Below are 26,855 nucleotides of genomic sequence, written 5' to 3' on the forward strand. Positions count from 1 at the left end.
TGGAATTCCTAGTGACAGGTGGGATTGACACTGAGAGACACTTGGAAGGTCATTGTACCATCTTTCAAAAGAGCAGTCACTGAAGAGTAGAAGTGGAAAATCATAGTTAGTGGTAAAATGGGGCATAGGGCTTGTGACACTCCTCTTTTCAAATCCTCAGTGGCTGCCTGTTGCTGAGAGGGTCACTCCTTGGCCTGGCCCTTCTACCCACTTGCTTATCTGTGCTGAGCGAATGCACTTTGATGGCATTTTATTAATGACAGTGGATTCAGTCCTGTCGTGGAAACAAAGATGAACTCTTCTAACACAATTTTTTAAAAAACCATACAGTACATTCTAGCTGAGTATGTAGAAGCTTCTGAGATTCTGATGCAGAAAGCCGATCTGGAACACTGTTTAATTCAGGTCAAATCAAGTTATTTTTAAGCGCCTAAATGACTAGGACTGGGCCTAAATATAACATCCTTATATATTCTGGAAGTGAGACTGGCCAGCTGCGTCTAAGAAGAGCACCTGCAGTGGCAGTCACAAACCGCCACATTCCCTCATTCCTATCTTTATTAATTTTTGATATTGTGTTAATTATATATGTACTACATATAAATATGTTAATAAGTATTGCTTATCTCATTTCCAGTCCAGAGTGTTTTAGATGTTAGACAGAAGCATGTGCTTGTGCACCTTATAAGCAACAAAATAGTTTTTGCCAAACTAGGTCCTTAGAGGCAGGAGCAGTTTCTTATTAGAACTCTTTGGGACTCAGGGCTTTATTCAGCATGGGAGGCACTCATTAAATATATGCTAGTAAATAGATTGTATTCAAATGTGTACATGTAGGTTAATTTTTTTTTTTTTTAACCAGGGGCACGATGGGATCAGATCATTATAGGCTGGTCATTCTGGTGGCATTATTTATGAGGTGCCTATTTCCCTGCCTCTCCAGCAACACTGGAAGCTGAGAGACCAGAAGGTAGCACAGTAATAAAAATGAGAGCATGAAAACCTTAATGAAAGGATTTCATTATGGTAATAGGGAAGAGAGGATGTTTCTTGCCCACTATTGGATGTTAGAATAGGTAGGATTTAATAGCTAATAGAATACCAGATCTGGAGAGACAGCAGTCACAGTACTTCATGCTAGTTAAATGTAGCACATTTGAGGGAGTAGAAAAAGATACGGTAGTATGTTCACTTCTAGATGGATATTACCTAGAAGGCAGTAAGAAATAAAGATTAGAAGCTCAAAAAGAAGCTTGGGCTGGAAATAGTGATATTCCCAATCATTCTTCCAATCACTTATTCGACATGATGAGTCCTAAGACAGATTGGACACGTTGGTAGTTGAAGACCAACTAGTAGATAAGCTTGTCCTGCACCAGGCAGTATAAAGAGAGAATCAAGCAGCAGGGAGCTCTAGCAGCTGGCCCCAGGCAAGAAGAGAAGCTGAGAGAGAGAAAATGAGATCAGTGCCCTCCCTAGAAACAAAGGGGAAAAGAGCCTCAAGAACAAAGAGTTGGCCAGCAGTATCAAAGCTGAGATGGAAATCGTGTAGATAAGGGCTTGATTTTTGGCAACGAGGAAATCATTGAGGATTTTCTGAAGAACAGTGAGGTTAGCACTGAGTTGAGGATTGTGAAGAATTGGAGACTTAAAAAAAAAAGATAATTTATAATCTATATTTGAGTGTGATGTGCTAGGTCCCAAGCACTTCACATGTATTAACTTATTTAAATCTCACAATAACCCCATGAAAGTCTGTGCTTTTTTATTCCCCATTTTACTTCTGCAAAAACTGAGACAGAATAATTTGCCCAAACTCACATAGGTAAGAAGTGGAGCAGAGCTAGGATTCGAGGCCAAGGGCAGCTCCACCATTATTGGTTTTAACTAACATTCCATGCTGATGCTTCACTGTAGAGGAGAGAGGTTGAGTACCCATGTTCCTGTTGGTGCTGTGTAAGTGTTGGGGAAACAGAGACAATACCCTTGAGCAATTTTTACTAGCAGTAGGGGAGCTGGATCAGCAGCACAGGGAGTGTTTCAGTTGCTGGAGCGGGTGAAGGATGTAGCAGGTAGGGAAGGCAGCTGCCAGCTTTTACTGTTGGAAGAGGAAGGGAGGCATCAGGAAAGGTTTCTTGGAAAAGGTGACTCTTAAATAGAGGTTCACAGTGACAAAATTCAGAGTGGTAGTTACGAAAATTTAGGCATGAGAAACTAGCTCCTATCCTTAAGGACTACTTCCTTCTGCTTTCATCAGGTTTTCTAAGTACCGACCTCCATGGTTAAAAACCAATTTAAGCAAATATACCTTGTCTTTAAGTCTCCAGTGGGTTTATCTTAACAGGGTACTTAACCCACAAACGAGAACTTTCTGTTGTTGTTCTTTGGCTAGGTGGGCCATTATACTGTAATACTCATAATTTGATTGTATATTTGCTTTAGAGTTGGGTAATATGACTCTTTCCGTAATCTATTCTAAGATAAATGCCATATATACAACAAAATGGTCATTATCTTTAATTTTAAAAAGAGATTAAAGAGTAAATGCAGTAACTGCTATGTTTTCTGCATGGGGTAGGAAAGACCCTTCCTCCGTAATCATTTCTGTGCCTTCACCAAACACTGGAATTCCAGAGACTGCGTCTTCCAAACAGGGTTTGATTTTTTTCGGGGATTGAGATTTTTGGGGATGATTTCCATTTTTTAAAAGCATCAAAACACTATGTTGGCCAAACAAAACACTTATGGAAGCTGGATTTGTGCTTTACAGTTGTATCAGTATCTTCCCGTTAGCTGGTGGGAGTGGGGTGGGGGTAGTACTAAGTTCTAAGTCCTATGAGAAGGGATTTCAGCCAGCTATGAGCAGGTGAAGCCATAGAAGGGATGTGGATATCAGAAAGGCTGTTGAGAGAGTCATTGCAAGAATAATTTAAAAATCACTCTAATTAAAAAAAATTCATGGAATGAGATATTTCAATTCAGTAATTGTTTTAGATAAGTTTCTTAAACACTTTCCTCTTAAGAAAAAGTATATCATCCTGTCTCCTTTAACAAAACATATTTTGGGGGATTGAGGGGCATTATTAGCATATTATCCTGAAACTATGGTTGTTGTCCAGTAGAAAATAGGCAATGGGTGGGTACTTTTTATGGGCAGTATAAGGAGATACTGAGGCAGTTGCTTTATTAAAAGAGGGAAGTGTATGATCAGGGTCGGATGCGTCCTGGTTTGCTGGATTGGTCCTGGCTCACTCCTGTTGTTCTGGCATAATAACAGGACCTTTCATTCTGGATGATTGTTTTGTTGAACCCCTTTGACTCCACCAGGGATGGTACCAGGTTCCTGAGGCCAAAGAAGGGACCCAGAGCCAGGAAACGAGATGACGTGGGGTTTTATTGGGGGCCTATATCCAGGGAAGAGAGTCTAGTGGCAGTGGGCTGGGCAGGAGAACCAGCCCCAAAAGCATGCAGTTTATATAGCATTTTCACTTAGTGTCCCCCTGCTCAACAGTCTCCATATGGTAACCTTCCCTCAACCCAAAACTAAGGGCCATGATCCTCTGTCTGGCCTGCATTCCACCAGACCTCAGAGGTTGTGCAGTTGGGGGTTCTGATGTTCCTCGTAGACAAAGAACGAATCTCCTGGTTGGCAACTCCAGGATTCCCTAACTTGGAATATTCAGGTGCTTCTGCCATACAGGGTTATTCTCAGGGTATGCTTAAGTTATTGCTATCAGATGCATTTACCATGCACTGATAAATTGTATGGTCACCCTGCATAATGTTAATATGATTTGTAGTTGCTGGTCCCTTTCTCATAGAGGTGGAATGAGGCAGGTATGCTGAATGACCTTGCTGTTTCTTGTAAAATTAATCACCAAAGCAAAGGCTAAACCTTAGAATGACTCTCAGCCTTCCCTGAATGATCTTTACTGTTGCTGTCAGGGCTTTAACTTGTCAGCACTATCGAAAGCATGATTGATTATTTCTGTATTACAGCGTTCAAAGCCATCCTCCCTGTTAACTTTAACCTGCTCTTAGGTCTATATCAAATTTAATTTGTGGTGTGTGAGGGAGGTATAGGAATCCCTATTTCAAGGATATGTTTCTTAATAATCGTCCTCAAATGATACTGAAGTAGAGATAATATAACATGAATTTTTAAAAAGCACGTTTTCAGACAAACGTTTTTGGGGTATGAAATCGAAGATACGGGGTACCACTTTGCAGGTGGATCTTTTTTTTTAGAAACTTAAAGTGATTTATATGCTGAATGATACAGTGTTCCACATCTTTTTCAACTTAGAATAAAATATAGAAGGCATGTTAATCAAGTTTGTGAATGAAAAAGTTTGAAGTTGTAAATAATATTTTTAAATGAGAGATTGAGAATTCTTTAATAGCTTAAAACAATGACTAAAATATAGACTAAGTTGAATAGGTCAGAATATGAATTTCTGCATTTAGATTACAAATAGTAGTTATGCAAGTGCAGAAATAAGGAAACAACATAGTTCATATGAAAAAGACATAATGGTTTTAGTTGAACAGAAGCTCAGTATAATGGCTGTTTAGAATGTCAGTGTACTTTGGTTTCTGATGGCATGTGAGACTAGATACTCTGAATTACTCCTCTAGTAAAAATGAATATAAATAAAAATGCTGGATAAATTATGTAAGATGTATCCCTAAATGGCAAGAAAACATGAAAATAAAAGACCAAACATTGGCCTGAAAGTGAAAGCAAGAAATCAGAGAGATAAGGGGAACACCTGGTTAGAGAGCACTTGCTGAGTCCCGTTGAGCTTGAATTTTCTTGGTCCCTTGTTGCACTGGAGACAAGAGACAAAGCCCAGAGCCTCCTATGGGGAAAAAAGTTTAGTAGACAATGTCTCCACATAGAGCTGGGACCCCTAAAGACTACTTTCATAGTGTATTGTAGAACTAGAAATATAACTTCCTTTGACCACCTCCCAGTCCGCAGAAAATCTCAGAAAAACTGCCTAATATTTTATAACCAATAATAATCAGCATTCATGGAGGTTTTCAGTTCTAATTTAGACCTATAGGTGGTCCAAAGAAAAGGCAAATTATATAGTTGTAGAGTGGTTCCACCATAGTAGCACAAGGCAGAAGCTAGTGCAGGTCCTTTTTGGAGGAATCTTTCTTCAGGGCAAGCCTTGAAGAGTTTAAAAAGTTTTAAGAAATTTTAATGACAGTCAGGAATCACAAAACAAAGTAAACAAGGCATCATCGATAGAACCAGCCAAAATAGTAGATAACAGAATTAGGTGTGTAATAATCTCAGATATTATAGTTGTCAGAAAGAATGTAAAATAACTTTTAAAGAAATGGAAAGGTTAAAAATATGAGTAAATTGCAAGTGAATATAAAAATGACAAAAAAAATCTGAAACTAAATAGTTCTTTGAGAAATAAACATATAATTGGAATTTAAAAACCAGCAAATAGGTTTAATGGCAAACTAGACATAGCCAGAGCAAGAATTAAGCAACTGGAAGATAGTTCTGAGCTTTTTGACTGTGACCCACAGAAAGAAATTCACTTACTGACACATGTGTATGCATATGATACATGTGTATGATTTAAGCCAAAGTATCTAGAAACTGATCTTATCAGTTCTCTACTAAAGGTAATGTTCTCTACTATTGGCTTTTCTCATTTATTCTTTTTCATTAAAAATGTTGGGACCAACCCAGGAAATTTTATAAACTGCAATGGGTTACGACCATAGTTTCGAAGGAAACTGATTTTAATAAAATTGAATATGTGTATACCCTACAACCCAGCACATGTCCAGCATAGTTCAGAGCACTTTGTGTGGTACCAAAAAAAGAAAAAAAACAAAAAAGCTGGAGAAAAAACATGGATTGTAGAAAGCATAAGGCATTTTTTATCTGTACAGTGGATTACCGTAGGACAGGGGTGATACTAAAAATAGTGAACAACCAGTACAGTGTAGACACCATGCAGTCAGTGTGGCTGCTGCCCATAAACAGCGAGCCTCAACCCATACCCGTGTGTGCCAGCCTGTTGACAGCCCTTTCTGTACCTTTGAAAATGAATGAACTACCAGTTCGTGCATCAACAACAGAAAAACAAGTTCTAAAAGATTTTATGTAGTATGATTCCATTCATATGAGCTTCAGAAATTTGCACAAAACTGAAGTAGTACATTGTTTAAGGATACAATCATGTATTTATTTATTTATTTCTGGAGATAGGGTCTGGCCCAGTCACCAAGGCTGGAGTGCAGTCGCATGATTATAGCTCACTCACCCTCTAACTCTTGGACTCGAGCAATCCTCCTGCCTCAGCCTCCTCAGTAGCTGGGACTACAGATGTGCACTGCTACACGTAGCTTTTTTTTTTTTTTTTTTTTTTTTTTAGTTCTTTTGTAGAGATGGGGTCTTGTTATGTTGCCCAGACTGACCTCAAACCCCTGGGCTCAAGCCATCCTCCTGCTTCAGCCTTCCAAAGTGGTGGGATTACAGGTGTGAGATGGAGTTCTGCTCTGTCACCCAGGCTGCAGTATAGTGGCACGATCTCGGCTCACTGCAACCTCTTCCTCCCCGGTTCAGGCAATTCTCTGGCCTCAGCCTCCTGAGTAGCTGGTACTACAGGCGCACACCGCTATGCCCAGTTAATTTTTGCATTTTTAGTAGATACAGGGTTTCACCATGTTGGCCAGGATGGTCTCGACCTCTTGACCTCATGATCTGCCAACCTTGGCCTCCCAAAGTGTTGGGACTACAGGCGTGAGCCACTGCACCCAGCCTAAACTATTTTTTAAAAGGCAAGGGTACACACAAAATTAAGGAGAATTGTTGTTACCTTTTAGTGGAGGACAAGAGGTTGGATTAAGAAGGGTCACAAAAGGAGCTTCAAGGTAACTTTTTCTTCTTAAAATTGTGAGTGCATGAATGTTTCCTTTTGTTTATACCTTACTCATTTTATGAGTACTCTTTTGCCTGTTCAACATTTAGTAAAATTAATTTTAAAAAGTCAAGGCAGGATTAACACAGGCAATAAATCATTTATGCTGATCAGACCATTTTTGGAAAGTTGTTTTTAGTTTTGGGTGCCAAATTTTATGGACATTAACAAACTGAAATGTGTCCAGAGGAAAGCATCCAGGGTGGTGATATAAACCACCACCCTGGTCTTGAGCCTTTCATTTTTCAGATGCAGATTCACACGCATTCTCATTATTGGTGGTTTTGACTCCCCTGGATTGGCCTGCTAGTGCTTAATGCAAACCTTTTGTTAACTCCCAGGTTATTGCACTTTTTGCCGCACCAATCAGAAATGAGTTCCAAGAAGTTCCACAAATGTTCTGTAGTGTGATGGTTTGCTAAAGGTTTTTTGTGTGTGTGTGGGAGGGAGGCATCTAATGCTGTAACTATAGACCCTATGTCATGTTGTTACTGTATTATACCAAATTATAGCTCAAACAAGGGATCTTTCATTGCTGGGATCAGACAAACCCTCTGCTGTCCACAGCTCCTGAAGGCATCACTAGATTCAGGTAGTATCCACCGAAGGGAAATACATAAGGATAATTTAGTTTGGTGCCTTTCAGAGACTATCGTATGGTTTTCTGTCTATGGCAGTGCAGGGGTCCAGTTCATCTGGCCAGGGCCTTAGCTCTGTGTAAACAAGGAGGGGTAGGCAGATGGCAGCATTTGTCTGGATAATAATTACTTGAGGTAAATGAGTAAATCGGCAATTATCGAGGATCTGCAATGTGGCAAGTGTTGTTAGGTGTTTTCTCATAAAAATATTCCACTTCATAGGGAAGGAAGTGGTCTTATCCCCATCTTACAGATGTGGAATTTAGGGAGGGGTCGCCAAAATTAATATTTGGGGGAGAGAAAAAGGGGAGGAGAGCATGCTTTCAGCAGTGCAGTGCTAGGGCTGTGGAGTCCTGGCTAAAGGCAGTGTGTGGTGTGGTTAGGAGCACAGATTGCAGCAGACAGGGCTGGATTCGTATGCTGACTGTCATTTACTAGCAGGGACACCTGGGACATATGTTCTTTAACTACCTGTGCCTCTCGTATCATCAGAAAACAAGGAAAACCCCTATTTCATGAGATTGTTAAGATAATTAAATGAATTAACATACATAAAGTACTTTGAACAGTGGCTTGGCCCACAGGGCTATAAAAGTGAAGTGTTTGGTGAAGTTTTTTTCTATGCTGGCTTGTAGCAAGTGATTCTCTTGGTCTCAGTGACCCTGTAGCAGAGTCTGTCCTCAGTCTTAAAGGGGTGAGATTTTTATATCCAGTCGAGCTTCCCAGCATCCCAAGTTGGGTTCAGATGTACCCAGAGGATAGGTGTGGCCTTGATTTACATTAATTAGATCTTCTTCCTCCAGGCTCCTGCACTTCACAGGGCTATAGAAACCTGCCAGTGACAATTTTTAAAAGACACACCAGGTGTACTTATTCCCAAGAACTTGCTCTGCAGATGAGGAAACTGAAGCTCAGGGAGGTTATAACTGTCCCAAGTTCACATGACAGCAGAGCTAATATTAGAATGTTTGCTGTTATCTGTGTTACCTCTAGAATGTACAGAGGAGAAGGGCAGTTTTCTCTTTGAAGCCTTAATTTCATACAAGGTGGATGACCTCACATATCTTGGTCCACTGGACTATCAGGACTTGTAGGTTCTCTGTGCCCTTTTGAGGCCTATGATGTGCAGGCTGCTCCCAGCTTTCAAGCCCCACAAGAGCAGCTTACTTCTTCTTAGAGCACCTCTTTCAGCTGCTCCTCTTAACCCAGTTTCCCTCTAAATTGTGTAGGGACTAGACATTCATTGACTCCTTCCATGTGTTTCTTGTAGTCTCACCTATTCTTTCCAGTGGCCATTGGCTTCTCATAACCCTGACAAGGCTCCTAGTTACTTACTGCTGCCTTTCTCTTCTTTTGCTGCCTCTTCTCTTTGCTTTAATTTCCTTTCGTTATCCACTTCTCCCCTCTTATGGATTCGTACACACTGTCACTTGTGTATTGCTACCATTTTTTTTGTAACTTGGGGCAGGATTGAACTACCGTTTTTTTTTTTTGTTTGTTTGTTTGTTTGTTTGTTTTGCAACGGAGTTTCGCTCGTCGCCCAGGCTGGAGTGCAATGGCGCAATCTCAGCTCACCGCAACCTCGCCTCCCGGGTTCAAGCGATTCTCGTGCCTCAGCCTCCTGAGTAGCTGGGATTATAGGCATGTGCCACCATGCCCAGCTAATTTTGTATTTTTAGTAGAGACAGGGTTTCTCCATATTGGTCAGGCTGGTCTCGAACTCCCAACCTCAGGTGATCCACCTGCCTCGGCCTCCCAAAGTGCTGGGATTACAGGCATGAGCTACCACGCCTGGCCCAGGATTGAACTCTTGACATTTGGAGCCGTTGCTAGGCAGTGAGTGTTCATGATATGAACTGACCAAAATCCACAGTACATCTTGTGAGCTATGCGGTCATGCCTCTTAGATTTTTTTGACTAGCCTGGAGCCAAATTGAACATTATTAACACAGCATTACAGCCAATATAAGCTTTCATCAAGGAGAGTATACCAAAATTGAGCCAAAAACTGGGATGCTTTAATTCCATACTAAGGCAGGAAATGATAAGGTTTCAGAAACAGGTAAAGTATAATCTGTACAAGTGCCCGGTTTAAGTGGTGTTTAAACCTAAGGATAATTTTTTCTTCAGCTTGAAGTGGCTTTATTGTTTATGCTTTTCTTTGCACTGAAATAAGGACAATATTCAGAATTAACATACATTATGCAACAGCTCAATTTAGGAAATTAAATAGTTGTTTAAAACATACTTGAACATGCCAACACATTGTATTCATTTTCTATCCAACAGTAGAATATTATTCACTTTCTATATTTTTTGCCTTTTAAAATATATGCCAAAAATTTCTACCAGCTCTTTTTTAAAAAGAGAATGAAGGTCATTGTTGCTTGAAATTAATTTTTGGTTTTTTATTATTTATTTATTTATTTTTTCGAAATGGAATCTCACTCTGTCACCCAGGCTGGAGTGCAGTGGCGTGATCTCGTCTCACTGCAACCTCTGCCTCCCGGGTTCAAGCGATTCTCCTGCCTCAGCCTCCTGAGTAGCTGGGACTACAGGCATGCACTACCATGCCTGGCTAATTTTTTTTTTTTTTTTGTACTTTTAGTAGAGACAAGGTTTCACCATGCTGGCCAGGCTGGTCTCAAACTCCTGACCTCGTGATCTGCCTGCCTCGGCCTCCCAAAGTGCTGGGATTACAGGTGTGAGCCACCACGCCTGGTCGAAATTAATGTTATTTTTTAAAAAATGAATTCCTTCCTAGCATTTGAGCTTGCTTTTTTAGTAGGCTCTTTTTAAAATAAGTTTTTTTGAGACCATAAAGGGAACACAGTGGGAAAAAGTATAAAACATCCATGCAGACAGCCTTCAACTCAAAACTGTCAGGTCTTTAAAAGCAATCTTGGAACTTTTCTTTTTGTCTGGTAGCAGTCCTATTATTGAACAGATGGTTAATTCACACAATAAGCTGGATAATCAAATCCGATGAGCTAAGATGGGGTTAACTAGAGCAATCTGTAGTATTTAGAAAAATTTCCAGGGTGATTGGGGAATGGTGACTGCAGTCATTATTTGGGATTCGTTTCTGTTAGTACAAAAATAGAACTTAAAGTCACAATTTAATAAAAAAAATTTCTTTCATTTAGAAAATAGCCCTCTCCCTCATGACTAAACAATCATTTGTAGGGGAGAAGAAGAGAGATTTGTATCAGCCACCTGCACTGCCAGTTCAGGAAATAGTATGTGAAATTCCTGCTTTATCAGGAACCCCTCCTGGCCTTCCTCTGGTTCTCATTTATTGAGTTTGCCAGATCCTGTGCTAGGTGGTGGGACCATAAAGAAGAAATGGGATGGGATTCCATGGTATGGTAGGGAAATGGGTCTAAACAAGTAACAAAACAGTGTGGAAACCTCCCGAGAATTCCTATAGTATGTTTAGAGAAACTGTCTCCTGGAGGATGGTTCACAACATCTGTTTAATTACCTTTGTAATTTTCTTCACTTAACTTAAAAACTAGTTAGCTTTTTGAATTTTTCTTGATTTTAGAAAGCATCTCTGAGGGGTATGCCTATCTTGCTGGAATTCTGCAAACTCACTGTGCCTCCAACAGAGCCTTGTACTTACCAAGCGGTAGTAAAGACAGATTTACAATGTCTCCTTTGCAGAGTGATTCTACTTGTCTGTTCTTCAGGTTTCTTTCCCTCCCAACATTTCTGCCTGTCAGAATGTTTTCTCTTAAAACTAAGGCCCAACCATATGTTTTCTCATAATCACTGGGTCACACCCACAGCCATACTGTTCTTTTCTGGGGGCTTCCTTGATGTAAACCTTTAGTATGTCCTGATTTCACATTTTCTGATGTGTGTTCTATAGTGAAACACAGTTTCTACTACTAGTGTGTTTTATATTTGTCTTAATCTATAGGCATTTAACAGTGTCTTTCTTTCCCCCCACCCCCTCTTTCTTTCTGATTCAAATTGGAATGATAGAAGACACCTAAATAATATGATGAATACTTATCAAAACGGCGAAGTTGGTTTTCTGAAAAAAGCTCTCTGTTGTGTGAAATATTGAAGTGTTATCCAGGAGAAGGAGACTTTATTCAAATAGTCATCTTATAGCTTGTCTACTAAAGTTGATGAAATTCATTTTCCAAACTGGTTTAAACAAAAATGATTACTTAGCTATTTAAAAAACAATTGATCATATCTCTTTCTTGTCTTATCCCTTCTCCTCTGCCACTCTTCTGATTTCTTGCATAACATTTAATAACAAATCATAAGACTAACAAGGATGCATTTCAATTCCTTATGGTTTATGGATCAGTTTATTAGGTCAAGGGTGTGGTGGGGCATGGGGGTGGAGGAATTATGGTAGAGAGTATGAACATTTGCTAAGAGCAGCATGGGATAGGTGAATTTACCCAGTATGGGAGTCTGGCAGAAGTTTTAAAATCAAGTACATCTGAGTTCAAATCAGGGCTCCACCGTTTACTAGTCACCTGAACCCGGGAAGGTACTAAATCTGAAATCTTAGTTTCTTCATGTGCAAAATGGAGACTGTAGGATTGACCTTGACAAGGTTGTGAACAGTGTCTGAACTGGGCAGAGTGGTGCCTGGGACTTATTTGTTGAGTGCCTATTATTACTTTTTAAAGCAAGGAAATGCATCCTGATCAAGTCACCTAATCTTAACCTCAACTTTGTATAACCTGTATAATGGGAATATTGATAAATTAATGTGAAAAAAGTAAAAAAAATTACAGCCATATATAAGCATAAGGGGCTTATTTCATGAAGGCTTCCTGGATATCCACCAGCCATTAGTGATTTCTCTTGTATGAACTCTGCTGTAGCTTTTTTCCAAATCTCTTTGGTGTTTATCAAACATTTATTTGATACTATTGTTACTAGGCATTAGTTACATTTCACAAGTACTGTAGTTAGTGGAATGAAACCCATATCTTCATCATTGTAATCCCTGTGGTATTTTAAATATGATAAGAGCTTGGTAAAGGTTTATTATATAAATAATTAATTTTGGTATTACCATTTTTCTCTGCTTTGCAAACTAATATAGCTTAATAGCATCATAATGGATTTATTTCCATAGAATATCTACCTTATTGTTTCTGTGATCATCTTATTAACATTTCATATGGACTATGTAAAACCTAAGATACCTTCCTTACTAACATTGTGTATTGCGTTTAGCAAAACTGAATTATATTTGGAGATGTAAGTCTTTGTATTTTGATGACAAGGTGAAAAAACCACCTTGAATGTTCCCACTCTTTTATTAGACAACAAAAATTTAGGAATAGTTTAGAATTCTGTAGTATTTATAGTTTATTTTGTGGATACACAGGGATATCACTTATGAAAATGTGCTACCATAGTTTATTTGTAGTTGAATATTTACAATTTCAAACGGGTTTTCTCTTTTCAATAAAAAGAAATGTGCCTAAAAAAATACACACACACACACACAGAAAACATTTTGGGGATCTTGGAGTCACAGAGTAGAGAGTAGCTGGTTTCCTCCAAAACTTTTAGACTTTTTAGCTGATCTATAATACTTAAATAACCAGAGCAATAAACTCTTCTCATTTTTACAGTAATAGAAATGTCAATATTGTCCATTGATTATCTGTCCTGGTGGGCCTAGTTTGGAGGAAGGGAGCACACCCAACAATTAATCAGCTGTCATTAAAAGAAATATACAAGGAAATGAAGGGTTTGCATTCTTCTGTTGTTTAAAAAAAAAAGGTAGAGCCTCTTGGAAACTGGAATTTATTTTGCTCTTGAGTTATTCTTGAGCATTCTATTTTGCTTTTGTTCAGTGTTTAGAAATTACAATAACCTGATATTGTGTTAACATCAATAACTTCTATTTGCATTGCTATAAACTATTTAATTTAAATAAATTACTTATTACTGCATAACAAGTTGCCCCATGCCTACAGACGTAACTTTTTTTTTTTTCTTTTTTTGAACTCTCACCTAGTTTCTTTGGATCAGGGATCCAGGAATGGCTTGGGTGAATGGTTTTAATTCTGGATCTTTAATAAGGTTGCAACCTAGGTGACAGTCCATTTTGTACGTAGTCTACATGAAGGTTTGACTGGGGCTGGAAAATCTACTTCCAAGGTGGTTCACTCACATGCCTCACAAATTTGCGCTGGTTGTTGGCAGAAGGCCTCAGCTCCTCACCATGTGGACCTCTCCATAGGGCTGCTTGAATGTCTGGCTTATATCAGGACAAGTGATCAGAGAGAGCAAGATGGAAGCTACCATGTCTTTATGTCATCATTCCACAATATCCTGTTGGCTGTACAGGTTATCTCTGTTCATTGTAGGAGAAGAATACACAAGGGTGTGAAAACCATTGGGGGCCATTGTGGAGGCCAGCTACCAAAATAAAAGAATGCTTAATCTTTAGCACATTTTTATAAGTGTCCAATTAATGTTTGAATCACGTTAAGTTTTACCAAAAATAATATAATTATTGGTGGGGCTGCCCCAATTTTTATCCTCTCCTTTTCCCCATAATTACATGTTGGTGTTCATTGATTTATGGTCATTTCAAATATTTGTATAATAGATAACTGTTTTTCAGACATGTGGTAATAGGAGTATTATATCTAGGTAAAAGGAATCATTTAGGTGAGCAGGACTTTCACTGAGGATAAGCTCAGAACCACTGTACAATCTGCTGCCATTCTGTAAAACCCTCTGAATTCATCAAGCCTTCAGCAGACATTTATTGAGTACCACTTATGTGTTAGGCAATGTGAATGCAGGTGTCAGTGCAAAGTGTCTCTGCCCTCAAGAAGAGGCAAACATTTCAAACAGTTGTTGAAGAACATGGGCTCTGAGGTCAATTTGCTTGAGTTCAGTTCTTGCCTCTCCTGTTTAGCTCTATGACCCTGGGCCAGTTATTTAACCTTTTGATTCTTTTCTAATTATTCCCTTATTACATATTACCTGCCTCACAGGGTTGTTGTGAGAATTCGATGAACAGTACCAGTGAGTACTAAGTGTCAGCCACTTGAGAATACCTGGAGTGACTAGTTTTGATAAGGGGAGTTTCCAGGGAGTGATGAGATCATATTTGAGTGGAGTCTTGGAGAGTGAGTTGGAGTTTGGCCAGCACAAAAATTTGGTAAGGCCCGCACCTGGGATGCCAACTTGAAGGAGAGGCAGGGAAACTGAAGTGGGGTGAGGTAATGCATGCTACATGGTGGCTTCAGGGGAGGCACTGGAGGTGGGCCTGGACAGCCACGGGAAGGGATGTGAAGGGGTTTGTGGAAAAAACACAGTGCCTGCAGTTTCCTGAGACCGTTTTCACTTAAGCCTCTTGTTTCTCATTGCCTTCCTAGGTACTCGCACACCTGCCAGAGCTCATGTTTGTATTTATGGTTAGGAACATTTTGTCACTGCAGTTACCTGACAAAAGAAGGTTGAACTTTTTTGTGGAGACTTTCAAAAGCAGTAGGATAATAGGATTGGATCTTTTGGTTTGTTAGTTTTTGTAAAGTGACCTGGTGAAGAGTGAACAATGGATTGAGTAGTTAGGAGGTTGTAGGAATCAATGGGGAGCTGAGGGTGGGGGGCAGGTTCACAAGAGCCCAAGCCCTGACTTTTGTCAAGCTTGGCATTTCCCAGAGACACCCTGAGCACATTACATTCCCAGGGTACCCACAGAACTGCCCCCGCTCCCTGCACCGCTCATCTCATCTCATAGTGAATTTTGCAATTATAAAAGTTTAAGAAAGAGAGATTTTAATCTCTGCATATATGTTAGTGTCAGTTTGAATTACATATGGGAGAATAAGCACCATAATCTTTTTGGCCTTTAAATCTCTGGCTCTAGTGACAACCTTATTTTATGGATGAAGAAGATAACAATTATGTCAGTTTTAGAAACTCATTCTCAGCTATCTACTTCCCACTCTTAAAAGTTTTTCTTGAAAACACAACTAAAAAGAGAGATGAGATGAGGCTTTACTGAAGAAAAGTTGGTTAGGAAGAGATTTTGATTTAGGTAAATAAGAATAGTTTAGAAACCAGGCTAGACTTCAGACAGCTCCCAGGCCCAAGGATGGGAATGAGGGTAGTTGTTAGTCTATTTAGCCTCTTCTCACTTGGTTTTCAATTTGCTATCCAGTCGTCTTTCGCAGCAGGGTTGACCCTTCATTGCTTTTTGGATGGCACCGTCCACAGACAGGCTCTTTTGCCAAGTCCTGTCACCCTCACATGTGTATATTTCTTTTATCTTCTTTAGGAGGTAGGTAGGTCTACTTGAAGCCAGAAGACTCTAACTCAACATCTGGTATAAGAAGATGCAGTAGAAATTCTGTGTATCCAGCTAGCTTAAACCTATGTATTTTTATTAGAAAAAAAAAATAATGTGACTGCTACTTTCTTTTTAAGATTTGGAAGCGGGCACTAGTGCACCTTTTTGTTACAACTGTAACACTATGTAAAAAATAATCAGGAAGCCATTGGCATTTTTATAACAACTATTAAGTTATATGAAGTGTGAGTGTAGTAACCAGCTTTGGAGACAAAGTCTTCATTCAGGGCTATAGCAGCTGTGCAGGGAGAGCCCAGCTATGAAAGGGGAAACTTTGGACTAACTTTCCCCTTCCTCAGTGGTGTTTGAAATGTGTATGTTTTCTTACATTTGCATCAGATTTGGGGTCTGCCAGTTCTTTCTTCTTATGCTCTAATTTGATATTTCATATTATTTCATGACTAGGAAATTTAAGGATTTTAACATTTGGGGGCGGTATTTTCTATTCATAATAAAAGTAGTTTGATGTCTGGATAGATTTTTAAAAAAAAAAAAAATGGTTGATGGAAGCTGGTCTTGTTGCTAAAGTAAATCTTTCTATAAATAAATGCAGAAACATCTGTGAAGGGCATAGTCTGAATGTGGCAGACATATGAATTGCGTCAATTCCCATCTTGCGGCCAAGATTTCTTCCTTGGGCTTTCTTTATAGCTAATGTTGTGGCAAAGTTTCACATTCTCACAGCATTAGGCAGTAAAATGGTCAAAAGAAATGGTGCCAAGTTACCCTCTTTCTTAGGTTAGTCAGTAGTAGGAATTTGTACTTACCAAGGAAAAGTGCAGTGTATTTTTGTTTTTATTTTTTAGGACTGAAGACCTGAGAGGTCTCCTTCAACTTCAGTTTTAGCCCTGGCTTTAGGCAATTTTCCAAATGTAAAGCTACTTTCAAGAAATCAGTGTGGTATCACAGGGAGCTGGGGTCAGTAGAAAAAGAAGACACAAAGTCTCTCCTAGAACTCCATAGGCCAATCAAATGACCTTTTATAGAAACAACTGAAATTCCTTTTTCAAAAGCACAAAAATGCTAATTGAAACCAAACCAAACAAACCCACCCCACAAGGACTGCAATTCAAATGGCTAAGGGGGAAGAGTGGGGACAGGGGAGGAAAATTCTTAGGAAAATTATCTGAAGCCATACACTTGTGTTTTGCTCTTTGGTGATTGTATGTTAAAATGGAATGATTTAGTATTTTTAAGATACAAATTAGCCAGGACTGTAAGAACCCTATGTACCTTTGCAGGTGCCTGTGTAGATCATCCTAGAATACCTGTGTGGTGCTGTCCTTCCTCAAGACTACCTCATTCTCACTGGCTCGGAGACTCCTGCCTGCTGAGGTGAGTGGTGCTGAGGTGTACTCCTTACATGCATTATATCCTAGAAGAGTAGCACTTTCAATGACTTTTAAAAAAACCTTTCAAAGTTTTGGGAGACTTTTATAGATCATGTTCATTAGTAAAGTCTTAAGAATCATCATTTGTAAGCCATTTATTTAGAGAAGGACTAAGTATAGGTGGTGATAGTATCTGTTACCACTGCAGTATAATTCCTAGGTCCAAATTTGGGTCGACACTAAAAGCATCATAAAATATGCCTTAGGTTTCAAGTTTGGAGTCTGAAGCAAAATATTTCAAAGCTGTGTGTCACCACTCTTGGGCTTTCTGAGCACTATTCTACTAATGCTATAAATTGGCAACCTCTTTTAAAGCAGAGAAGTATTTCTAATAATGAAAGGCTAGAAAATCTTGATGGCTAACTAGTTTTTCAGACTTTTCTCTATAATAATCTTGGTAAGTCTGGAAAATCCTTTAGCTTGTGTTTCCATTTTTTAAATAATGTCTATTATTGGCTTCATTAAGTCAAGGGGGGGCATAAAAATCTCCTTAGGTAAGGATATTCAACTAAATTACATCTCAGTTTTAGTATGCTTGCTGTATATCATCTCTTGTCTCTTGAGCATTTAAATGACTTATTCGTCCCAGGAGGGAAAATAATTTGACCTTGTTTGTAGTAGGTAAATCACTTATGAATAAATTCTTCACACTTTACAGGTAAATAAACTCTGTAAGGGCACCAGCCAGCGTGCTGTCTCATAAATTCCTTAATCTCTCATTTGCAAAAGTTATGTGTGTGCATTTTTAACTAGATGCTGGATCTCGAAGGTCTCACATAAACTGATTTCCCCCTGAAATAAAAAACTTTAACTTCACAGCCTTCTAATAATTGCTAGATTATATGGAGAGACTGGACTCCTAAAACCACAAATCCACATCCTCACCAGTTCAGTTGCCCTTTTGTAGACCCTGGTATGTTGCTTACAGCATTAGCAAAAACCATGACTAGAAGGCTGCAAATGTTGAGAGTCAAAAGATAGCCTGATTCTAATAAGGCAATTTTGTTATATCCACGTGAGAGTCAAAAAAGCCTATTCAGACCCTATTTTTAAGGCCTTGCCATTTGTAATATGGCCTAAAAAGGAAAAGCATAAGAAAAAAGTAATGTGCTATGTAGTACAATTGACTAAAGTTCTCTCTGATTGTCACTTAAATTTTAGTTTTGACTACCATTACTGATGAAGCTGTGCTATAAAGCTTTCTTTTATACATTAATTATTTTTTATTAAGGAGGATCTATGTGTAAGTTATACCAAGAGGAACTGTGGTTGAGGCTTAATGTTTGGGGATTTTGTGTATTTGGGTTTGAACATTTTAGTTGTTTTGTTTCTCTGGATCACTAGTAGTTATCCACTAATACAGGTGGGGATTGTATGAGTTTGATTGATTGGGGATTGCTGCTGAAGAGTTTTCATTTTTTGCGGTTTCTTCTCAAACATTCAATATTCTCTAGGTCAGCAGCCTTTAATTTTGATCCTTGACTTACAGTACAAAGAGACGCCTTTAGCTTACTGCTTTGTTTCCCTTTTTTGAATGAAGTGTTATTTAAAAAGGTTTTAAATAAATGAAGGGTTTACCTAGCATTGAGGTACATTTGTACCTGAAACTTAGAAAACTTGTTTGCCTCTGTTGGCTACTGAACCTGGTTTACAGGAGAGGGACTTCCCTAAACCTTTCTGAATGAAACATCCAGTTCTAGTCATGTTAACTTTGGTGGTCAGCAAAACCAGCCTTGAAGTCTCAGTATTGCTACACTGTAAAACTATCTTAAGTTTTTTTCATGGAGCTACTTAAAATTTTTAATTTCTTGCAATCAGAATAGCTTTCTACTAAATTACATTTTTTTCCCCATAATGATGCAGTTTCTCTTGAGCCATTTTTCTTTTACAGCATGTGATATTAGAGAATAATTTACAGTTTATCACGAGATACCTTTGTTAGGCTGTGTGAAAAGAAAGTTTAAAGCCCATATTTTGTGTAAAAAGACAGATTGGGTAAAACAATAAATTTTACAGATTATTTATTTGCTTGTCTTTCTGTTCTAGATAGGACCGTAATCTTCCCTCATCCCCCCTTTCTAGTACCTTCCCATAAAATACGTTAGTGAAGGGAAAATAATGATAAACAGGACTTAGTTCTATAATAGTTCAAAACTGCCTTCCAAGTAATTTTCCATACTTTCTGGAATGAAACATATGGCAGTAATGTACTGTGCCTCTGGTAATGGAAAGTAGTTTAAAAATACTCTCAATATTTTATATTTTAAAGGGTGTGTGTATGTGTGTGTGTGAGTGTATGTGTTTTCAGGTTTTTCTATCCCATGTAGATTTAATGGAATTATTTTTATATGCTTATACCTGTTTTTACGGGTTTACATAGGGGCATTTTTGAATAAAACTTGTAACGAGGTGTTTATTGTTACAGATAATTTGTGCATGCAAGTTTTAGAAGGCTTGAAATGATCTTGCAGAGAAAACTACTTGGTAGGAGGGGGGTGACATTTTCTGTAATTTAAGTTGTCATAGTAACCTGCATCAAGACGCATACTTGGAATCCAGGCCTGAAGAATTTCAGTGACAATAAACATTCCAATTGCATTCATCATCCTTTTTTTGGCCAAGAAAGGAGCCATCCATTGTGACCTAATTATTTTATTTCCGTTTTTAGAAGATGAGTAATAATTTGCATGTTTCAGTGCTTTGAAACTTCCCTAGTAGAATAAAAATGAAAAAAGTTCAGCTGTTTATATTTGAGATTGACATTTTCTGATAATGTATCGCAAACTAGTTATTTCAGATTTTGAGACAGGTTTGGTGTGATGATTACTTAATGAAATATGAAAGAAACAGGATTTGATACTGATTGAAGAAATTGCCATATCCATTGGTTAACGTGCAAGTCTAATATTAAGAATATTGGAATTTGGTTTTCATGAAGCTCTGATTCGAGAATGTTATGACTTCCCTATTATCAGTTTGCTAATATTTTTATTTGATGGCATTTTGTACTGCAGTCTTAATTGGGTACAAATGTATTTTAGTAAAAAGGATGAGGCATCGTTTTTATTAGTGGAATCAGCTTACTTTGAGAAATTTGTATCCAGACATCATTTTTAGATATCTTTCACAAAGGACTGTAGAATATTGTTTCTGAAGACAAAGCTTTTTTTTTTTTTTTTTGAGATGGAGTTTCACTCTTGTTGCCCAGGCTGGAGTGCAATGGCGTGATCTTGGCTCGCCGCAACCTCCGCCTCCTGGGTTCAAGCGATTTTCCTGCCTCAGCCTCTGGAGTAGCTGGGATTACAGGCATGCATCACCACTCCTGGCTAATTTTGTATTTTTATTACAGACGGGGTTACACCATTTTGGCCAGGATGGTCTCGATCTCTTGACCTCATGTTCCGCCCACCTCAGCCTCCCAAAGTGCTGGGATTACAGGCGTGAGCCACCGCGCCTGGCAAGAAAGCTTTTCTTAAGGTTTGATTCTCTCTTGCCTTCTGCAAGATATTGAATGCTAGCTAAGATTATTTGAAGTTAAAAATTCTCAAAGAAAGAATACTAGGAGAAATAAGGTGGTAAGAGTGAGTATGTGTGGGCGTGTATGTGTGTCCATTCATTTAAGGAAACTTGGAAAATAAATAGGGAGAGTTCATGGCTAGTCTAATTAATAAAAAAACAAAATCAGAAATCAGTTTACCGGGAAAATGTGAAGGAAAATAACATCACTCCTCTCAATGTTTAGAGATATTTACTGTTAATATTTTATGGGAAGTATCTATAATTTTTTTTTCTAGTCAGTATATAATTTATTGAGGATCTGTTATTTGCCAGGTAGGCTTAAACAATAAACAAGACAAAGACCTTACCATCATGGTTTTTACAGGCTCTGGGACAAGTAAATAAGAAAATGACACAGCAGTATGGTAGGTGAGTCTTCTGATGGAGGGAGAGATGAGTGAGGTTTACCTACCTAAACTAGCCTGGGTCATGGAGGAGAAGTGATCAGGTTAACCTTTAGAGGGCTCAATAATTTCAAACCCAAATTAGTTTCCTGATTCACAGTGAAATCAAGAGAAACTTTTTCCACCAAACCATGCTCTGTGATATTGATAACAATGACTAATATTTATATAGCACTTTCTATGGGAAGTATCTATAATTTTGTAAACAACATTGAGATCAAGCTCAGCCAAAATACTAAAACAGTGAATTTGACCTAAAATTATTAGAATTTGCAACATACTTGCTGTTATCAGTAGTGTCTAAAATAGCACTGATGGGCCAGGCATGGTGGCTCACAACTGTAATCCCAGCATTTTGGGAGGCTGAGGCAGGAGGATCACTTGAGTTCAGGAGTTCAAGACCCTGTCTCTACAAAAAAAATTTTTAAAAATCAGCTGGGCACAGGATTGCAACCTGTAGTTCCAGCTACTCCGGAGGCTGAGGTGGGAGGATTACACCACTGTGCTCCACCCTGGGTGACAGAGAGTACTATTGAAAAGGAGACTAAAAATTATTTGCAGATAATAAAAAGTTCCCAAGGCAATCAACTAAAATGTAGTTTAGTAGGGTTCCACTGTAAATCATGTAAATATCATGATCTTTTGTGTATGATAATAATAACCAGTTTAAAAGTATGAGGAAAAAAGCCCATTCATAGTAGCAACAAAAAATATGCCAGGGATTAAACTCGGTAAGAAATGCAATTGGCCTGTAGAAAGGAAACTAGTGAACTTTGCTCTGAAGATAATGAGGAGACTTATGTTTCTGGATAGGAAGACAATTCTTTAGTTAGTTTTAATATTTTATATTGATTTGTAAGTTGAATATAACTCCAAGCAAAATCTCAGGAATTTCTCATAGATCAGTGATTCTGAATTATTTTACATTTTTATAGAATAAATAAGAGCCAAGAAATGTTTATACGGTAAAGAAGAATAATGAAGGAAAAGTTGTAATGCTAGACATTAATTTGAAAATGGTATGATTTTGATAAAATAGACAAATATTTGGAGCAGAATGGAAAGCTCAGAAGAATGTTGTGTTGATAAAAGTGCCACTGCAAATAATGAATGTAAAAATGTAGTAATACATATACTAGAAAAGAGTGTATATGAATATCTATCTTGGGCTTGGGAGAAAGAAGCTACTAAAACATAGAAGCAAATGTTAAATGGAATAATTCCTATGTGTAATGATACTAAAAATTAAAATAATTTAATTTTGCTTATATCATGTACAAAAAGGCAGTCACCTGGGGAAAATATTCAAGTCATGTATTCAAATTTTTTTCTTTCTATAATATGTAATTACATTATTAATATATAATTACATTGGTAATATACAGTCATCTGTCACTTAACGGGAATACACATTGAGAAATGTGTCTAGGTGATTGTTGTTGGGGTGCGAAAATTATAGAGTGTACTTCTACAAACCTAGATGGTATAGCCTCCTACACACCCAGGCCATATGATACCCCATGGCTCCTAGGCCACAAACCTTTACAGCATGTGACTGTACTGAATACGGTAGGCAATTGTAATACAGTGGTAGATATTTGTGTATCTAAACGTATCTAAACATAGAAAAGGTATGGTAGAAATACTGTATAAAAGATTTAAAAGTGGTACACCTGTATGGGGTATTGCCTAGAATGGAGCTTGCAGGTCTGGAAGTTGCTCTGGGTGAGGCAGTGATTGTTTAGTGAATGTGAGGGCCGAGGACATTATTGCACTCTTCTGTAAACTTTGTAAACACTGTGTACTTAAGCTGCACATGTATTTTAAAATTTCCTTTTTTTTTTTTTTTTTTTTTTTGAGACTAGGGTCTCTGTCACCCAGGCTGGAGTGCAGTGGCATTGTCACAGCTCACTGAAGCCTTGACCTCCTGGGGTCAAGTGATCCTCCCGCTTCAGCCTATCGAGTAGCTGGGACTACAAGTGCATTTCACCACACCCAGCTAATTTTTAATTTTTTAAAAGTGCATTCCATCATACCCGGCTAATTTTTAATTTTTTTTTTTTTTTTGTAGAAACAAGGTCTCACTATGTTGCCCAGGCTGGAGTTGAACTCCTGGGCTCAAGCAGTCCAACCACCTCAGCCTCTGAAATAGGTGGGATTACAGGCCTATTTTTAAGTTTTAAAAATTAAAAATTTTTATCCACTGTGTTTTGCCTATTAACAATTTTTATTCTTCAATATGAAATTAACCTTAGCTTACTATATAACTTTTTTACTTTATGAACTTTTTAATTTTAACTTTTTGATTCTTTTGTGATAACACTTTGCTTAAAATACAAATACATTGTACAGCTGTGCAAATATGTTTTGTTTATATTCCTATTCTATAAGCTTTTTTCTATTTTTAAAATTATTTATTTTCGAACTTTTTTGTTAAAAACTAAGACACAAACACACATTTTAGCCTAGGTCTACACAGGGTTGAGATTACCAATATCACTTTTCACCTCCACATCCTGTCGTACTGGAAGGTCTTCAGGGGCTATAACACACATAGAGCTGTCATCTCCTATGATAACAGTGCCTTCTGCTGGAATACCTCCTGAAGGACCTGCCTGAGGCTGTTTTACAGTTAACTTAAAAAAAAAAAGGAAGGAATACCCTTTAAAGTGTGGATTAAGAGTATAGTAAATACACAAACTGGTGACATAGTCATTTATTATCATTTTCAAATATTATGCATTGTAAATAATTGTAAGTGCTGTTTCTAAGACTGGCAGTGCAGTGAGTTTGCTTACACCAGCATCAGCACAGACACTTGAGTAATGAATGCATTGTGCTACAATGCTATGATGGCTACGCCGTCACTAGGCCAGTAGGAATTTTTCAGATCCAGTGTAATCTAATGGGGCTATATGTGGTCCATCGTTGACTAAAACATTGTTATGTAGAGCATGACTGTATGACATAGTATATAATTACAATATATAACAAATAGAGTTGGTTGGGCACAGTGGCTTATGCCTGTAATCCCAGCACTTTGGGAGGCCAAGGCGGGTGGATCACCTGAGATTAGCAGTTTGAGACCAGCCTGGCCAACATGGCAAAACCCTGTCTCTACTAAAAATACAAAAATTAGTCGGGCTTGGTAGCAGGTGCCTATAATCCCAGCTAATCGAGAGGCTGAGGCAGGAGAATCGCTTGAACCCAGAGGGTGGAGGGTGCAGTGAGCCGAGATTGCGTCACTGCACTCCAGCCTGGGTGAAAGAGCAAAACTCCATCTCAAAAACAAACAAACAAAAAAAAACAAATAGAGTTAATACCTGTATTATATAAAAAATTATTGGCCAGGCACAGTGGCTCACGCTTGTAATCCCAGCACTTTGGGAGGCCAAGGCGGGCAGATCACGAGGTCAGGAGTTTGAGACCAGCCTGACCAACATGGTGAAACCCCTTCCTACTAAAAATAGAAAAAAATTAGCCAAGCGTGGTGGCGCACACCTGTAATTTCAGCTACTCAGGAGGCTGACACAGGAGAATCACTTGAACCCAGGAGGCAGAGGTTGCAGTGAGCAGAGATCATGCTTGATCTCTTGGATGTCTTTTATTTCTTTCTCTTGCCTTATTTCTCTGGCTAGGACCTCCAGTGCTGTGTTGAATCGGAGTGGTGAAAGTAGGCATCCTTGTCTTGTTCCAGTTTTTGGAGGAAATGCTTTCAATTTTCCTCATTTAGTATGATGTTAGCTGTGGGTTTATAGTACATGATGTTTATTATTTTAGCACATTGTATTATTGAAGATTCAAAAACATATACATGACACACATATAAATAACCTATACATAAATGTAACTCATTCATCTAGAGTTAATTTTTATATATGGTGACATGGATCCAGTTTCATTCATCTACATTCAGCTAATTAATTTCCCAGCACCATATATTGAAGAGGGTGTCCTTTCCTCATGTATGGTATGTTCCTTCTGTGCCTAGTTTGTTGAGTGTTTTTATCATGAAGGGATGTTGAATTTTATCAAATGCTGTTTCTGTGTCTATTGAGATGATCATATGGTTTTTATCCTTGATTTTGTTTAGGTGATGTATCACATTTATTGATTTGCATATGTTGAACCATCCTTGCATGCCTGATATAAAACCCATTTGATCATAATGGATTATCTTTTTGATGTGCTGTTGAGTTCAGTGGGCTCGTGTTTTGTTGAAGATTTTTGCATCTGTGTTCATCATGAATATTGCAGACCTTTGTCTCTGTAATTCCCAATTCTGGCAGTGGGAGAAGTAAGGTAAGAATGCTCATACAGTGCAACTAGAAGGCAGACTATTATGCAGCCAATAAAAGAGTTTATCTGCTTATCTATAGATTTTTTTTAACTCTTTAATGAAATGGAAAAATGATAACCTGAAAAGTGACAATATCAGGACATAATATATTATAACCTTCAAAAAATAACTGTATAGGGGGAATAAAAACCTAGAAGGAAACATACTAAAGTGTTAATGATGATTTTTCTCCAAGTGGTAGAACTATAGGAAAATAATTACTGTGTTCATTTAAAACACAGATTATGTAAAGCAAGTATTAATAATCAGAAATTTTATATATAGATTATATTTTTAAAAAAATCTAAGGTTGACCTGATGTCTATGATTTCATTATATGCCTTTAAAAATACATATATGTATTTATAGTAAAAAATACATTTTCCATAAGGATAAATGTATCAAGGGGCCAGGTGCGGTGGCTCATGCATGTAATCCTAGCACTTTAGGAGGCTGAGGTGGGAGGATCACTTGAACCCAGGAGTTTGAGACCAGACAGGGCAACATGGTGAAACCCTATCTCTACAAAAAATACAAAAATTAGACAGGTGTTGTGACATATGCCTATAGTCCCAGCTACTGGGGAGGCTGAGGTGAAAGGATTGTTTGAGCCTGGGAGGTCAAGGCTGCAGTGAGTTGTGATTGTGCCACTGCACTCAAGACTGGGTGACAGACTGAGACCCTGTCTCAAACATAAAAAACAAAACTTCTTGAGACTGGACTATACACAGAATTGAATAACAAGGGGCATATCACAGTCTCTAGGCAGGGATGAATATACTGAACTCCTGAGCTGTTATTAATGAATGATTTGACTGAGATTTATGCCTACATTGTCAGTATCATGCTTCCTGGAGGTGTGGGGCTCAGCATCTTTGGGAATGAGAAAGAGCAGTGTGTTCCTGTCTTAGTCTACAGTTGACCTTGCACACAACATGGGGGTTAGGGAGTGCCAGCCTCTTGTGGAGTCAGAACTCTGCATATAACTCTTGACTACCCCAGAACTTAACTACTAATAGCCTATTGTTGACCAGAAGGCTTACCAATAACATACACTGTCAATTAACACATATTTTGTATGTTATATGTATTATATACTGTATTTGTACAATGAAGTAAGAGAAAAGACAGTGTTATTAAGAAAATCTTAAGGAAGAGAAAATATATTTACTATACAGTAAGTGGAAGTGGATCATCAGAAAGGTCTTCA

General features: G+C 38.2%; 1 protein-coding gene across 12 annotated transcripts in view, besides 3 other annotated features; it reads left to right on the top strand.

Annotated features, from left to right (window-relative positions):
- RASSF8 (Ras association domain family member 8) overlaps positions 1-26,855 on the top strand; it is a 121,658-nt gene that overhangs the window by 19,611 nt on the left and 75,192 nt on the right. For 7 of the 12 annotated variants that reach the window (NM_001394094.1, NM_001394096.1, NM_007211.5 and 4 more), the window contains exon 2: positions 17,195-17,288. The exons of 3 other annotated variants lie outside the window; for them this stretch is intronic. The gene's annotated coding sequence lies outside the window, so the exon portion shown is untranslated. Of the gene's footprint in view, positions 1-17,194; positions 17,289-25,399; positions 25,609-26,855 lie in introns of all 12 variants that reach the window. 2 more of the 12 variants (XM_047428189.1, XM_047428188.1) reach the window with 1 other exon arrangement.
- Positions 19,733-20,489: an enhancer, noted in NCBI's record as "NANOG-H3K27ac-H3K4me1 hESC enhancer chr12:26150508-26151264 (GRCh37/hg19 assembly coordinates)". NCBI's record gives its function as "activates a minimal SCP1, AML or CMV promoter by ChIP-STARR-seq in primed H9 embryonic stem cells {active_cell/tissue: H9 hESC(primed)}" and the evidence as "EXISTENCE:reporter gene assay evidence [ECO:0000049][PMID:30033119]".
- Positions 19,814-20,108: a silencer, noted in NCBI's record as "tiled region #880; HepG2 Repressive non-DNase unmatched - State 24:Quies, and K562 Repressive non-DNase unmatched - State 24:Quies". NCBI's record gives its function as "represses a minimal TATA promoter and a strong SV40 promoter by Sharpr-MPRA in HepG2 and K562 cells {active_cell/tissue: HepG2 | K562}" and the evidence as "EXISTENCE:reporter gene assay evidence [ECO:0000049][PMID:27701403]".
- Positions 20,490-21,246: an enhancer, noted in NCBI's record as "NANOG-H3K27ac-H3K4me1 hESC enhancer chr12:26151265-26152021 (GRCh37/hg19 assembly coordinates)". NCBI's record gives its function as "activates a minimal SCP1, AML or CMV promoter by ChIP-STARR-seq in primed H9 embryonic stem cells {active_cell/tissue: H9 hESC(primed)}" and the evidence as "EXISTENCE:reporter gene assay evidence [ECO:0000049][PMID:30033119]".

The sequence above is a fragment of the Homo sapiens genome, chromosome 12, assembly GCF_000001405.40.
Source record: "Homo sapiens chromosome 12, GRCh38.p14 Primary Assembly".
Taxonomy (NCBI): domain Eukaryota; kingdom Metazoa; phylum Chordata; class Mammalia; order Primates; family Hominidae; genus Homo; species Homo sapiens.